General features: G+C 45.8%; 1 protein-coding gene across 10 annotated transcripts in view; it reads right to left on the reverse strand.

Annotated features, from left to right (window-relative positions):
- SCN5A (sodium voltage-gated channel alpha subunit 5) overlaps nucleotides 1-17,141 on the reverse strand; it is a 101,626-nt gene that overhangs the window by 42,430 nt on the left and 42,055 nt on the right. For 9 of the 10 annotated variants that reach the window (NR_176299.1, NM_000335.5, NM_198056.3 and 6 more), the window contains exons 9-14: nucleotides 16,178-16,319; nucleotides 15,460-15,657; nucleotides 14,238-14,417; nucleotides 13,221-13,592; nucleotides 8,427-8,559; nucleotides 7,238-7,476 (exon numbers count right to left, since the gene is read on the reverse strand). Coding sequence is in view for 9 of the 10 variants with exons in the window: in NM_000335.5 (NP_000326.2) it covers nucleotides 7,238-7,476; nucleotides 8,427-8,559; nucleotides 13,221-13,592; nucleotides 14,238-14,417; nucleotides 15,460-15,657; nucleotides 16,178-16,319 (1,264 nt within the window). In the remaining variant the exon portion in view is untranslated. Of the gene's footprint in view, nucleotides 1-6,631; nucleotides 7,477-8,426; nucleotides 8,560-13,220; nucleotides 13,593-14,237; nucleotides 14,418-15,459; nucleotides 15,658-16,177; nucleotides 16,320-17,141 lie in introns of those variants that run through there. The other variant, NM_001407185.1, reaches the window with a different exon arrangement.

Below are 17,141 nucleotides of genomic sequence, written 5' to 3' on the forward strand. Positions count from 1 at the left end.
AATAACTCCATAGGAGGTTTCTAGGAGTTACAGCTAATGGCTGTAAAGTGGATACTCTCTATGACAGGGCGATTATTGTTACTGTCAGCAGCATTTATTATGATTGCTGAGAGTGGCCAAGAGCTCCAGACCCAGGCAGGGGCTGCCTTCAGATATAAACAACTCTGCATGTTTTATAGGCTCACTGGGATCTGGCAGATAGAGGCTCTGAGCATGGTGACCCACTTCCCCTAACTCCTGGCAGGAGGTTCACTGAGCAATGAGTGCAAATGGCCGCTTTCCAGGAATTGGGGGAACTTATGGGGAACCCCAAATTCTCTTTGACCTTGGCATATGACTTTAATGGGACCATACTCCATGCACTGCAAACCTGTATTTAAAACATAATACCTTATGAACATCCTTCCATGCCAATTAAACACAATCTACAGCATCACTCTTTTTCTTTCTTTTTTTTTTTTACATTTGTGGCACATTCCACTGTACAGATGTGCTATAACTGGTTTAGCCATTTCCCTGTGATAGTCATTCCTTTTTCCCTATTAAAAACATTGCCACAATAAATATCCTTTTACGTGCTTGTTTTAAAACAACTTGTCTAATTCTTTTCTTAGGAAAGATTTCTGGAGATGAAATTGTGTAGTCAATGAACGTTTTTAGAGATTCTGACACATAGTGCTAAATGATCCTAGGAGAAAGGTTTTAACCAAGTCCACAAGCTGCATGTGAGTAACTGCTTCCCTTTAACTATGCTAACACTGGGTATTCCATTCCCATGACCTTTTCTCATCCAACAGGACACTCTTGTTTTATTGGACATTTCTTTTTATTTTGTACTTCTTATTTGGTGAAATTTCCTGTTCATATCCTTTGCTCTTAATTGTTCTATTAACGTGTTTGCTTTTTTATATGGTTTATAAACATACTTTATATATTAAGGATATTACCCTTTTGTCTATTAGTACTATTTGTATTGTCACAATTTTCCTGATTTGTCATTTACCTTTATTGTATTTGTTTACATTTTAAAATATTTCAGGATATATACTTTAAGTATAGGATAATAAAATGATTACCTGTGCACCCACCACCAAACTCTAATGAATATTAACATTATGCCATATTTGTTTCAAATCTTGCTTTCTTTTTCCTTACCAAAAAAAAAAAAATAGCAAATACTTAAATAGCATTTGATGTATGCCAGGCACTGTTCTAGTGTTTTACATATACTAAACCATTTAACCCTCACAATAACCGTAAGTGATATGTAATGTTTATTATCCCCATTTTACAGATAGGGAAACTGAGATACAAAGGAGTTAAACCAGTAATTCAAATGATGGCTTCCACTATGAATTCTTACCCATCATGTGCCATCACAGATAAACCAGGAGCCACCCATAGTACTATATTCATTCCAAGGTAATCACTATCCCAAATTTGATGTTTATCATTTCTACACATTTTTACATTTTTAATGTATATAACAACAACACATAGTATTTCTGTATTCTTTTAACTTTATGTAAATAGGCTATGCTTTATATATTCTCTTTTATTCTTAACATGTTTTTTATTCTTTGTTCCTTTTATTCTTAACATCATGTTTGAGATTTATTGACACATGTATAAGTATTCATTCTAATCGTGTACAGTATTTCATTGTATGAGTACACCACAATTTATTTATCCACTTTATAAAATTAACGGACATTTATGTTGATTCCAGTTTCCCCTATGACTAAAAGTACTGTAAAGAACTTTCTTATACATGTTTCCTTGTACAGATGTGTGAGACTTTCTTAAGAAGATATATATATATATGGAATTGTTGAGTTGTAGGGTACACAGTTTATATCTGTGATTTACCAAATATTGTTCAATTGCTCCCCAAAATGGTTGTACCAAATCCACACTCTTACAAGCTGTGAGTTCCCACTGTTCCACAACCCTGTCAACACACAGAAGTCTATTTTTTATTCTGTTAGGGTAAAAAATAGTATTTCAGTGTTGCTTTAATTTCCATTCCTCTGTTTCTCTTCATTTGTTTATAACCATCTGAATTACCTCTTGTGATTTGCTTGTCATTTCCTTTGTCCATTGTTGTGGTTCTGTTTTTATCATTTTATCACTATCCCTCTTTTCCTATTGATGTGTAACTCTTCAATATTGCCTGGATTCCATGTATTTCTGGTTAAATACTTATCATAATATCAATTTCCAGTTTGTGGTAGTGAGTTCACTTAGTTTGTAACATCTCTTGTTGTACAGAGATTATAAATTTTAACAATTTATAATTTAGCAATCTTTTCTTTCATGATATAAGCTTTTTGGATTGTTGAAGGCCTTCCCAATCCCAAGATCTTAAAGCTTTTTTGCTTGTTTTTATTCTAAAAACTTTAAAGTTTTGCTTTATCACATTTAGGTGTTAAGTCCAATTCCCCTGCATCTAATTTATGAATGTGATGTGAGGTAGGGATCTAAATTGATTTTCTTCCATGCAGATAACCATTCTCCCAGCATCATTTATTAAACAGTCCCATCCTTTTCCTACTGATTGTTTTATTTTATTTTATTTTATTTTTTGAGATAGGGTCTCACTCTATTGCCCAGTCTGGAGTATAGTGGCGTGATCTTGGCTCACTGCAACCTCCACCTCCCAGGTTCAAGCAATTCTCCTGCTTCAGCCTCCTGAGTAGCCAGAACTACAGGTGCATGCCACCACATCCAGCTAATTTTTGTATTTTTAGTAGAGACAGGCTTTCACCATGTCGGCCAGGCTGGTCTCGAATTCCTGACCTCAGGTGATCTGCCCACCTCGGCTGGCCTCCCAAAGTGCTGAGATTACAGGCATGAGCCACTGCGTCCAGCCTTCTCCTACTGATTTATAATGCCACCTCTGTTATTTATCAAGTCACCAAATATGGATTGTTCTATTTCTGTGGTCTCAATTCTGTAGCACAATCTGTTTTTCCACCCCTGCACCAATACTATAATATTTTTAGCTTTATAAGATATCTTAACATACTATGGTAAATTCTCTACCTTAGTCCTTAATTTATCTTGATCTACTTTACTTTTCCATATGAGTCTTAGGATTATCTTGTCAAGTTCCATTAAAAAAAAGTATTGAGATTTTGACTGGAATTACATTGAACTTATAGGTTAATTTGGGAAGAATTTGTATCCCTACAATATTCATACTTTCATTCATGAAAATGGTACATCGCTCTACTTTTATGTCTTCTTTTATGTTTTTCGGCAGTTTCATAATTTTTTCATATGAAATTTGCATATCTTTTGTTCTATTTATTGCTAAATTTCTCATAGTTTTTATTGTGATCATAAGTGGAAACTTTAAAAATTTATTTTCTCCAGCTGATTGTTGATGGTGACTAGGAACACTACTTGGAATACTGAGGCTGTACCCCCTAATATTGTTGAACTCTCGTATTAGTTCTAACAGCCTCTCTGTAGATTTTCTAAAATGATCTAAATAGACAACAACATAATCTGGAAAATAATGTCAGATATGTTTTTCTTCCTTCTTTCTTCTATGTCTTCTCTTCATCTCTCTATATTACGTTCGGGGCAACTTTATTAGATCTAAATTTACAATCATTTAATTATCTTCCCAACTGTATTAATATGCTATTTGATGCGTACATTGAAATTTTAATCTCAATGTCTATATTTTTCATTTCTGGAGATTTTATTTGGTTCTTTTTCAAAGTTGTATTATTTTCTTATGTTTTTAATCCCTTATTTTATGTCTTTAGTTATTATGAAGGTGTTTTTTTTTTTGAGCAGAGTCTGGTCCTGTCACCCAGGCTGGAGTGCAGTGATACGATCTTGGCTCACTGCAATCTCGGTCCCGCTGGGGATCCAAGTGATCCTGCCACCTCAGCCTCCCAAGTAGCTAGGACCACAGGTGCACACCACCACACCCGGCTATTTTTGTGTATTTTTAGTAGAGACAGGGTCTTGCCATGTTGCCCAGGCTGGTCTCGAATTCCTGAGCTCGAGCAATCTGCCTGCCTCAGCCTCCCAAAGTTCTGGAATTACAGGTGTGAGATACCGCGCCTGGCCAATTATGAACATTTTTATCATCTCTATCAAGCAGTTCTACTATGTGACATTTTTAAGGGGATAGCCTGATTGTGTCTGCGTGTGTGTATGTCTGCTGACTCTTCCTCATGGTGGAATATTTCCTTCTGTGTTTTATAATTTGGGAAATCCAGCCTGACCTAGGCTAAAGGTGTGTCCTTCCAGAGAAGTTTTGTTCCCTTTTAGGGGCCCCAAGACATCATTCTAGGATCACTTTCTATGTTAATTTTTTAGATGTAGGTTCCAGGACTACTCAGGTGTAAATTTGAACCCCAAATCTGTATAAGGCCAAATCCATAGTCACAAGCCTTTCAGGGGTTACTTTTTTCCTTTCCAGCCCTGGCCAAGACAGGGATTCTTTATCATTTCCCAGGGCCTGTGTGTAGGTTTTTTCTGGTTCACCATTTTTCTGAATGTATAGTCATATCCTTACGGGGCTACTCAGTTTCAACCCCTACTCACACTGTCCCAAGGTTGAATGTCTTGTCTCTACATGCTCATTAAAATCCAAGCCTCCAGATTATGCAAATCAACACCTCCCCACCCCACCCAGAGCAACCACAGAGCCATTTCACATGTTTACTGCTATGGTTTTTAAGCTTCTTTTTGTTTTTGGCACTTGGGGTTTCTGTTAAAGTAGCCCCTCTTATCTACGGGGAATACATTCCCACAAGGCTCCTAGTGAGTGCCTGAAACCATGGATATTACTGAACCCTGTATATACTATGCCTTTTCCTAAATCTACATACCTCTGATAAAGTTTGATTTATAAATTGGGCACAATAAGAGATTAACAACTTCTCTTTGTCATATATTTGGCTTCTCTTTGGCACATCCGTATTGCCAGCAACATTACTATTCTGCTTTGGGGAATAATGATTAAGTAAAATAAGGGTTACTTGAACACAAACACTGTGATACCACAACAGTCTACCTGATAACAGAGATAGCTAGTAAGTGACTAATGGATAGGTTGCATATAGAGCGTGGATACGCTGAACAAAGGGACAATTCATGTCCCGGAGCAGAATAGAGCAGGACAGTGTGAGATTTCATCATAATACTCAAAACGGTGTGCCATTTAAAACTAATGAATTGTTTATTTCTGGAATTTTCTATTTAATATTTTCACGTCATGGGTGACCATGGGTAACTGAAACCATGTTTCCATGGTTTCAAAATTGTGGATAAGAGGAACTACTGTACTTTCTCATGCACTTAGCTATGTAATTCAAAGGATGTTTCCTGTATTTTAAATTGTTTATTAATAGGAGACTTTTCAGATTTTCTTGTCCATAATGTTGCTGGAAACAGAAGTTTCATTTGCCTTTTACTTTTATTTGTGTGATGGGCTAAAAAGTTAGCTAAATCTATCAGTCTTCTCCTTTGTGGAATTTGTCTTCAGAGACATGCTTAGAAAGGCTTTTCCCATGCTGATTATTTACTCATGCTTATTTTTATGGTTTTGTTTCTTAACACTTAATATTTAAACTACCTAGAATATATTAAATGCAATAAAATCAAAACCTTACATATTAGTAATAAAGCTATTCAAACAGAACAAAATATAGCTATAACACAACTACATTGCCTGTTATCAATATTTTAACGACAAGTTTAGTACAATGCAGTTCAGCTACAACTTGCTGACCCAGTGAAGCCACCAGTGCTGTTCATCACACCTAACTTGCTGCTCAGTCCAACCCAATGGTCACAACCTGATAAAAACACACTCAACTGAAACCCTGCATAACTACCATCTGAAGACCACCCAACATTTCCAACAGTGCCATGAGACTTCTACCCACTGAGATGTAGCTTTGCCTTCTGTTTGCACATAGAAGGAAAGAAAAGTAAAATTACAGCAAGTTGACTCAAATTGGTGAAAAAATCTGAATAGGCCCTGCAGAGAACTACCTAGAGTCCTGGGTTTGGAAAGTAAGAAGAAAAGAAAATCCTCCTACCCCACAGTGTGAGAGACCTACCTGCCTATGGGGGGTCACTTGAACAGCTGGGCCTGAGACAGGCTGGGTCTTCAGTAAGAACAAGCTTAGATCAAATGGGGCCAGAAGTCCCCCTACCACCCCCACACCAGCCTCGATGATGATCTCACAAGCTCCTTTTTAAGGCCAGTGGGATCATGGCAACTCTGCCCTGGGATCCTCTAAAGATGGGCTGACTCTGTTTACCTCGACTGATCCAATATGGCCCTGTCCTGGGAGTTGAGAGATGACCAACTCTGCCCCTGCCATGTCATCCCTCCTGTCTCTGGGCCTCAGTTTCCCTATCTGTATAATAAAGAGGCAGGACTTGATTTGGTATCAAGAAAAAAAAAATCAGAATTAGAATCCAGACATTCTGACTTCCAGGAGCAGTCTAACAACAACAACAATAGCACAGCTATCATTTGTTTTGAGTGCTTACTGTTTATCAATCTATGAGCCAAGCATATTATACACATTATCTTATACAGTCCTCATTACCTTCCTATGAGGTTGATATTGTCATACTAATTTCACATTTATTGAATTCAACAAATATTTATTGGGCCAATTACTGAGTAAACTGCTTGAGATCAGCTAGTTAGTAAGAGCTGAGTCAGAATTCAAATCTGGCTCTGCCTGATTTACTTACTACACCCAGCTATCCATCCATCTGTCCATCCATCCATCCATCCATCCATCCATCCATCCATCCCTCCATCCTTCCCTCCTTCTATCCAACCATCCATCCACAATTTCCCCCATCCAACAACACTGATGCAAGCTCCGTCCATAAGAGAACTACTTCCTTCTGCACGCATTCTCCTCCACCTACAAATTACAAAATCTCAAGTCTCCACACATTTCAGGTTTACCCCCAGCTCACTTTTGTTTTCTAGATTCTGGGCATCTGCATAAACTTCTTTTCACTCCACCCTCCCACTCCAAATCTACATTTCTCAGCTCCTTAGAAGCCGACCCTGAGATTCCCTCCCTCCTCCAAGATGTCCTCTATGATGATTCCCACCCTCAAAAGATCCTTCTGTGTGCAGGATCCCTTCTTCCTTACCCATGAAGGCTGTGCCAGCTGCCCGAGGTCCCCTCCTGCCAGGATGCCCATTTGAGAGCCAGCTGCAGGCAGCCCTTACCAGGTTTCCGACCTGCAGCATCTCCTCGAATTCACTTGTCATGTTGTAGTGCTCCAGCGCCATGAAGAGTGTGTTGAGTACGATGCACATAGTGATGGTGAGGTCAGTAAACGGGTCCATGACCACCAACTTCACTCCCTGCTTGATGGACATCCACAGCGGGCAGCACTCCCAGATCAGGTAGCGCTGGGCGAGACGGTTCCAGCATGGTGGACACTTGTGGCGAGACTCCTCTAACTCTGAGGGGACAGCCAATGAGTTAGTTTGATTCTGTTGACTGAGTCATATGTAACTGGAATACCTTCCAGGAAAGATTTATGACTTGCTCTGGGAGATGACAGGGCTGCTAGGTGACAGCGGGACAGTGGGAGCAGGGAAGGCCAAGGGAGTGGGTGGCCTGTGTCCTGGCTCCTTAATCTGGAAATATGAGAGAAGAGGTCCATAGGGACAGGAAACAAAGATGGAGGTGGGGAAAATGGGGACAGGAGAGATTATCAGGACAAACGTACAACTGCTTAAGACAACAGTCCCACATAGACCTGGGGACACTCAGGGGAGGACAGGCTGAAAATGATGAGACAGTAATGGGGACATGCAAGTTCAGACACGAGGACACCTGGGACAGAATGGGCAGGGACAGATGTGGACATCTGGGATGTGTCAGGACAAATGGGAGAGGGGATGCCAAGGACAGGCTGGAAAAGATGAGAATACATCCGAGATAGGAGGGAACAAGATCAGGATGGGGGGTGCCCCATTCAGACTGGAAGGGATGTGGAGTTGCCTAGGGCAGGAATGGCTGGGAAAGATGTAGGATGCCTGGAATAGTCTGAAGTAGATATGGGAATAGCTAGAACAGGCATGGGTATGCTCAGGACAGGATGGTCCTAGATAGACATGGTTATGGTTGGGAGATGATGGAATGAGACTGACAAGCATCTGGGACAGGCCAGATGTGGGAGTATTTGGGAGAAACACAGGCATGGTGATACCCAGGAGAGAACAAGCTGAAACAGATGAAAAGACATGGAAGGACAGGCAAGGCTACACAGAACAGAGAAGGCTGGGACAGTGTGGGGATGTCTAAAGCAGGCCAAGACAAATGGGGGATGCCTGGGTCAGGCTGGGATAAAGATGAGGGTACCTGCAGCGGAAGTGGGGGGTGCTTAAATGACCTGGGGTTGCTGACCTTCCAGTGCGCTGGTGAGGACGCTGACTGCGCTGAGGGCCCGCTGCCGTGCTCCTGGCTCCTCGAAGCCATCTACACACGGAGCCTGGGAGGTCAGCATCTGGGGCCCGCCTGGCTCCTCCGATGGCGTGGTCTGAGTGCAATCAGGAGATTTGCGTCAGCCTGGGGAAAAGGGTCCTGCCCCCAGCTCCTGTCCTGCTGGACCTGGGGAGGCCGGTCCAGACTCAGGCTGGGGATGCCACAGGGATAGGATGAAGGTCTTGATGGGACACTGGATGCTGGGCTTCTCTGTTCCCAACTCCCTCCCAGTTAAGAACTCCCTCCACCCCTCCTCCCAATCACTGTCTCCTTCATTCTCCTTTCTTCTTCACTGCCTCTCATCAGCAGTGATTCCTGAGTGTGGTCAGGAAGCTACACATATCACAGGTCCTCCCTGAGCCTGATGCTGCCATACACATTAGTACATGCAAAAATGATCTGGGAGTCTTAACTGACCACAAGTTTCCTAGCGTCAAGAGCATAAAGAAGCTGAAAAAAAAATCTAACATGCTCTAAGATAATGCTAATAGCAGGATAAAGTACAATGCTTACATATGGCTGGTGGGGGGCTGTGTCTTTTGTGGAGGCAGTTAGGCTGGATTTACCAAGAAAATTTTAAATTGGCCCTCAAGTCCTCGTCTAGTAATCTAACTTCATAAATAATTACACATGTGCATCAAAAATACACATAAATGATGTTCATTGCAGCAGTGTTCCTAATACCATAAGAACAAAACACCAATCAATAGCAACCATATTCAAATCAATTATAGACACAGTCCAACTCTGGGCTCTGATAGACAACAAAGAGAACGAGGCAGTTCTTTGGATGCTCCCATGCGGACATCTCCAAGACAAACAGTTTGATGAAAAAACAAGAAAAAGATCTGGAAAATGCATACCAAATAATTAAAGTGGACATATCTGGGGAATGGGATTGTGGGGGAGGGGAAAAAGAGGGAGAAGTTCCCTTTTCACTTCATGTACTTCTGCACTGTGGGGTTTGTTTTCACCATGCATGCACCATTTTTATCAGTAAAAAACCCAGGCCTGGAAACAGCCCTGGTGAAGGGAGGTGGCAGGCAGGCATTCTCTAGGCTTACCTGGAGCCTCCCACAGAACCAAGGAGGGCCAATAAAGCCTTCACTTCAGCAGGGCCCTGCATGACCACGGCCCAGGTGCTGAGCTGTTCAGCATGCAATAGCAAGACTCTAATCTTCATAGGGCAGAGGGAAGATGGGCCTAGATTAGCCAGGGTAGAAGAAGCAGGGCATAGGGTGGATACCAAATAGATCTGGGCTCAAGTTAAGGACATCCCGGCCATTGGTAGGACTGCTCTGAAATGTTGCCTAGGGAGGTAGTGAGCTCCCAGTCATGGAAGTATTCAAGTGGAGGCACCTGAGAGGGCTGAGGTGGCTGGTGCAATGGTACTACCCTAGGTCCAACGCAACCATGAATTTGGCCAGCTTAACTCACAAGCAAGTTTTAAATTCTCCCAACTTCTCCCCTCCTTCTTTGCCATCTATGATAGTTTGGTTATCACTTGGCACATATGCACTCTCTTTCCCCTCCCACCGAGGGTGAATTAACTTCCCTGCCCTGGGCATGAATGACTTGCTTTGGACAACAGAATGTTAGTGGACATGCTGTGAACAGAAACCTCAACTGGGCTAGTGCTGTTTATCTTGCTCTTGTGCTCCAGGAATTCTCCATGAAAAGAGCTTCCCCAGATAGCTGTCACCTTTTCAGCCTAAGCCTCAGAACAAAGATGCAGAGCAGCCCTGAGCCTAACCCACAGCATGGAGCCCAGCCCAGCCAGCATGCCGTCTGGAGCAGGGCTTCCCAGCTAAGCCTAACCTACATGGGCCATGTTGTAGTTAACTTGCAGATAAGTGAGCATGAGAATAAAGGCTTGTTGCTAGAGATTGACTTCTGGGGTAGTTTGTTACACAGCATTATTATTATAATAGCTGACTAATACACCATCCTAGTCCAGGCAGTCATCTTCTCTTTCCCAAAACCACTGCAACAGCCTCCTAACTGGCTTCTTTTCTTCTTCTCATCCCTGTATTCTCTGCATAGTAGAAAGGGATTCCTTTAAAAAGTAAATCAGATAATGTCACTCCTCTGTTCAACAACTCCTCCCACCCTACTCCTCCCCATCTTACTCACACAGTATATCCAAACTTATCTATGGTCTAGAAGGCCCTGCACAGTCCAAATCCTAACTCATGAAATTCATTTTAATGTTTCACCACACCTGGCCCTGTTAGTCCCTCTCATCCCTTGGATGTGTCCTCCTCAGGGGCTTTGCACTTGCTATTCCCTCTGCCTGAACGCTGTTCCTCTGCATCTTTAGGGCTGGCTCCCTAAAATCATTTGCCTGTCAATTTTAATGTTACCTTCTTGGGAAGGCCTTTCCTGAGTATTCTAATAGCCCTCATCCTCATCCCTCCCCTTAGCAGCTTTCTATCACATGACTTATTGCTACCTGAAAATATTGATCAGTTTACTGTCTTCCTAACTACGGTATAAACTCCAAGAGACAGTGATCTTGCCTTCTTTGTTCACTGCTATAACCCTGGAGTCTCAACACTGCCTGGCACGCCACATGGCAGGCTGGCACTAGATAGATATTGGTTGGATGGATAAATTCTTGGGAATCAATCGGAAGGCTTGGGTTAGAGTTCCAGCTCTGTTCCTAACTTGCTAGGTGGCCACAGGAAATGAGGATGAAGATTTAACATGTAGGGGGAGAAAAGGAATGGATATTCAGTGTGCTTCTCCCACCTCCATCTGGACTTTTGGAACCAGGCAGTCTCATACAAGCAAGGGGCAAAGTAAGTCTTCAGCCCCTACCTCCCAATCTGGATAAACTGAACGTGAGCTGTCTGCTGGGCTGGCCCTTCCTTCCCATCCTTGTTGATTAGGCACCCACAGTGTGCCCAACCCTGTGCTTTGTTTTCAGACTAGAACTGGGCAGAAACGTCTCACTGGGGACCCAGTGGAAGCACAGAAGGCATTCCCAGGGGCCTGCAGCCTGCTAATCTCTTTGACTCTTCAAATGTCTCCATCTTGGTTTGCTAATTCCTTTAACTTTGCAAATGACCCTGTCTTGGCCTGCTAATCCCTTTAAGGTTACAAATGGGCCCCACAGAAGTGAGAATGGGTGAAGTCAGAATTCCTGGTAATGAAGTGCTTGAACTTGGATTCCTCCCGACATGTGCAGTACAATGAGATGATTTTCTCCTTAATGAGATTAGGAAATTCTATTAGCGCTCCCAGCTGCTGACCCGATTCCATGAGGCTGAGGCTCCAGGGCTGAACCTGCCTGGTTCAGTGTTCCTGGAAACTAGACACCCCACCCTTCAGATGGGCCAGGGCCTCCCCAGCTCTACCTAAAGCTGTGGTCTGCCCCCAGGGGTGCCCAGTTTCCTCCCTTCACCCTGTGCTCCAGAGGAGTGTGGGGCCCTGGGCATTCTGCAGTGTACCCCAGGATCCTCACTCCTTCCTGCTTACTAATACCAATAACAGATAATACTAATGGCTCTAAGACCAGGCAAGTATTGGTCTCAACACTGGACCTAGTTGCACTCTTTCAGTCCTCACCACAACTTGCTGGCGTATAATTTTCACTTTACAGATGAGGAAATTGAGGCACAAAGAGATTAATTAACCTGTACCAAGTCCCACAGATTGAGCGAGAGTCTGAGTGGCACAAAATAAGCCACGTGGCTGGGAGCCCTGCATCTTCAGGCCATCCTCCACCTTCCTGGTCAAGCCTCCCATCTGTTCTACCTTCCTCTCCAAGTGCGCTCTGCAGGCCTTGGGGGTTGAGCCAGATGTTCAGCTTTTTCCTGGGTGGGCTGCTCTGGTCACTGTGTTGGGGGCCTGGGGTCAGCAAGGACACCTGATGGCTGATTGGGCAGCCATCAGTCTGTCATAGAACTGACTAAGTGACCAAAGCTCTGATTGGCCTTTCACAATCTGGCCAGTCCCTTCCTATCACCTTTGTAACAGTCACTGCAACTTCTCTCCCCGTCGCTCCCTCTGTTCCAGCCACACTGACCTCGTGGCATCTCCTCCAACAGGCTAGGCAGAGTTCTGCCTCAGGGCCTTCACATTTGCTGTTCCTTGTGTCTGGAACAGGCTTCCCCAGATGATGGTAATGAAGGCTTTACTAGTTGTGACATAGTTAACTATCATCCCTCTTTATCACCATTACACACAATATAGACATTTTTTCTTTTTGATTTTTTTTTTTTTTTTTTGAGATGGAGTCTCACTCTGTTGCCCAGGCTGAAATGCAATGGCATGATCTCAGCTCACTGCAACCTCTGCCTCCTGAGTTCAAGTGATTCTCCTGTCTCAGCCTCCCAAGTAGCTGGGATTACAGGCACGCGCCTCCATGCCCGGCTAATTTTTGTATTTTTAGTAGAGATGGGGTTTCACCATGTTGGCCAGGCTGGACTTGAACTCCTGACCTCAGGTGATCTCCCCACCTCGGCCTCCCAAAGTGCTGGGATTACAGGCGTGAGCCATCGCACCTGGCTTTCTTTTGAGTTTTGTCTGTCTGTCCCCATTAGCATGGATGCTCTATGAGGGCCCAGTTTTTTTTTTGTAAGTTTATGCACCTAGAGCCCAGCACACAGTAGGTGCTCAACAAATATTTGACGTGTATTTTTGGACTTGGCACTGGTGATCAGTTTGGGAGACCAGACCTGCTGTGGTGCCTGCATCTCGGGGCTGGCTCACCGTGTCTGGCGGGTGCTCTAGCATCACAGGGCGGAGGAGGTGGCTTCCTGGGGATGTGGCCTCTGGGTCGCCTGCCCCCAGTAATGAGACCACCCCATTGCAGTCCACAGTGCTGTTCTTTTTGCCATGGAGGGCGTGGCCAGGAGCCGAGGTTCCGGGACTGGGCTGTCCCTGGGCACTGGTCCGGCGCAGGGGCCAGGGCACCAGCAGTGATGTGTGGTGGCTCTCGCTCTCCCCCGCTGTGCTGTTTTCATCATCTGCAAAATCTGCTTCAGAACCCAGGTCTCGCCTGCGAAAGGTGAAAATGCTCCCGCGGCTGGAACGTGGCTTCATAGAAGTCCTGCTGAGGCCACGGGTGAGGCTGAGATGATTCTAAGGGCATGAGGAGAGGGGACACGACCATGACATGTGCTCTTCATGTGCTCCCAGCCTGTCTTTTGTGCCACTGGCCTCAGCTAAACTTCTCAGAGCATTGAGGGCTTTTTTGGCCACACAGGAACCAGGTGGGTTGGGCCGGGGGTATTTGGAAGAGGGGATGTGGGGTTAGAGATAATCCTGTATCTTCTGGGATGTCTACTCCCCTCAAATCTATGTCTCTGGAGCTGGGAGCCTGAAACTTAACTGGGCTTGGAGTTAGAGCTCAGGCTGGGCAAGGGAGAAGGAGGCAGGAAGGCTCCTGGTGTTGCAGACAGGCCCGGCCTGAGGAGGACCTGGGGCACTCGGAATGGACCCTCACTCTTATGGGCATGTCCTTGAACTCCTACCAACCCATACCATGGGGTCTCGTCCCCCAGCCCCGGCTCCAGTGCCGGGATACTGGCCTCAGGTTGGGGATATCACAACACCCAAAACTACCCTGTCCCTCTGCCCAGAGCTCCCCTACTCTAAGGAAGGCCATGGGAAACAGGAAGCGCAGAGATGAGCAACCATGGGGGCTGTGACTGTACAGGGGCCTAGCATGATGGGATTTTCATGCCAGACCCACCCTGGAAAAGCTAGAACCACAGCTGGGATTACCATTGCTCTGGGACCATCTTCTGAGTCAGACTTGGGGAGCCTGTCCTCCCCACACTCCTCAGTTCCTGAAGACATCCGTTTTCTCCTCTTGCTTCTTCTCTCATGGCTGTTTACTGGGGCCAAAGGGGACATCTCCAAGGAGCTACGGGACACGGTATCCACACCCCTGATGGTGAGGGCCTGGAAAAGAGTGGAGGAACGGACGTTTCCATCATTGAGACTTTGTGCAGCCTCAGGCTCAGGCAGGCCAGGCAACTCTCAGTGACTTGGTTTTCCCTATCAGTAAGTGGACTTGCACACCTACCCCAAAATGAGGACATCATGGAGATAAACTCAGACAGACCCAGAATGTTTTGGGAAAGATCAAGATCCAGGAAGGAAGATAGGAGTGGCTAAAGTGGGCAGCCTCGGAAGACTGGAGTGTGTGGAACAGGTGGGAGGTGGGTGTAGATGAGCAGAGAAGTGGCAGAACCAGAAGGCAGAGGCTCTTCTAGAAGGTTTAGCTGGCCAAAAGTGTACTGGAATATGTGGCATGGGGTAGTGAGAAGAACAAGTGGATGCTTCTAATAGCTCTGGCTTCTAATAGCTCACTCTATAGCCAGCCTCCAGGCTCCACCATGTGGGGGACTAGGGATGGCTAGGGCAGCATTGTCAGTGCTTATTTTCTGAGACAGCTCTGTTCTCTGACATTGGACCTTCTTCACTACCCCACCAGAAGGCATCCCTTGACCAGAATAAACTATGTGCATGTATACATGCATCTCTTATCCAGCATGCACTATGCTCACAGGGACCATCTTTACCCAGGAGCTACCACCCAGCAGGCACCATTTTTACCCAGCTGGCGCCACCTTCACCTGGAGGACATGACGACCATAGGGAACAAGTTTACTCAGCACAAGCCACACTCATAGGACCCACCTTACCCAGCAGATGTCACTTTTACCTAGTAGGCTCCTCACTAACAGGCACGTCTTAACCCAGCAGGTTCCAAATTTTTACTCAGCGATACCACATTCACAGAAAATATCTTTACCCAGCAGGCACTGCACCATGCCCACAGGCACTGGCTTTACCCAGCATGCACCATGCCCACAGGCACCAGCTTTACCCAGCATGTACCACGCCCACAGGCACCAGCTTTAACTGGCATATACCCCACCTATAGGCACCTACAGTCAGGTGAGGGCTTAGAGGCTCCTCGGTGGCACTGCTCACCCACCTCGTGTTCTTTCTTGAGCATTTCCATGGCCTCCTGGAAGCGCTTTTCCTTCTCCTCGGTCTCAGCGATGGTGGCTTGGTTTTGCTCCTCATAGGCCATTGCGACCACGGCCAGGATCAGGTTCACCAGGTAGAAGGACCCCAGGAAGATGACAAGCATGAAGAAGATCATGTAGATCTTCCCTGCGGACCTGAGGGTCTGGGGGAGCAAGGGGGCAGAGGTCACCCTCACTGGGGCCCCTTCTGGGTTATGGCATTTCCAAGTCACCTAGTCTAGTTGTGCCAGGGGTTCAAATAGCCATAGCCTAGGGAGGAGGGTAGAGATGTCCCACCTATAGAGAGGGACATGTACTGACCTGCAGAGGAGAATGACCTGCACACAGCGGGACTGTGTCCCACCTGAGGAGGGAGGCAGAATGTTCCACCCAACTCAGGGCATGCTGTGCCCACAGAGGGAGAATATTCCATCCTACAGGGAGAAAGAGTGTCCCACTCACAGAGCAGAGAGCATCCTATACAAAGGGACTGGTACTTCATCACCAGCAAAAAGAAAGTTTCTTTGCTGCTGATCCCTTCTCCCTCAGAAGCAAGGGTCCTTGTCCCCTGTCCCCTCCAAAGCTCCCACCAGTGGGGAGGCTGCTGGGGCCACTTCTGGCTAGTCACTTGTGTAGCCTGGACCCTGAGCCCACACTTGCTGTCCCTTGTGGGCACACACACACCTGCTGATAGAGGCGCTCCCAGCAGTCCTGCGTCATCAGGCGGAAGAGTGCAAGAAAGGCCCAGGCAAAGGAATCGAAGCTGGTGTAGCCGTGGTCGGGGTTCTCGCCTGCCTTTAGGCACCGGTAGCCCTCCGGACATGTCCTGCAGCCACACACAGAGACTTTGTTCCATGCCGTCAGGGGTCTGCTGCCCTTGAGACCCTTGCTGGGCTGGACTTGTCTCCCTGGGCAACCCAGTTTATGCCCCACAGCTCAGTGAAGCTGAGCTTCACAAACCTAGTGCCACGCTGCTGGATCCTGCCTCCGTGACTTTGTTCGTGCTGTGCCTCCCACTGGGACACTATCTTCCTCTTTACTCTTCTTATATGTACTCTGCTAGGCCTAAATCAAGCTCCCTTCTGCCCATACGTCACACCATCCCCAGCTACTATCAAGTTGCCTCTCCTCACAGAGAGGAAGCACACAAGCCTGGCTCATGTCTCTTCCTCTGCCCATCTACCCCATGAGGAGTTGAGTACAGCATGGGCATGGGGGAGAGCAGGGTTGGGGAGAGCAGTGAGCCTCGGCTGAGCTGAACAGGATGAGCCCAGGGCAAAGGCAGGGCCATGGGGTTGAGAAATGATTCTGGAGGGGATGGGCTGGGGCTTGGCCATGTCAGGAGCTCATTTGCACAACTGTGCACACAGCCACTGGTTCACTGAGGCAGATTCACAGTTCACAGAGCTGGAGGTGGTAGCCTCTCTCCAAAGAGGAAATGCTGGTCTGGAGTCATGTGTGCATGTATGTGTGTATGACACACACACACACACACACACACACACACACACACGAGGGACTTAGCAAGTGGATGGATGCATCCAAGGGACCTCTGTGTCTTGCTAATGCCCCAAGACCCTCCAGACAATCTCTTTGGTGACAGGAAGGAGGCAACAAACTTGGTACTTCTCCTTTGAGGTGGCCCTCT

The sequence above is a fragment of the Homo sapiens genome, chromosome 3, assembly GCF_000001405.40.
Source record: "Homo sapiens chromosome 3, GRCh38.p14 Primary Assembly".
NCBI lineage: Eukaryota > Metazoa > Chordata > Mammalia > Primates > Hominidae > Homo > Homo sapiens.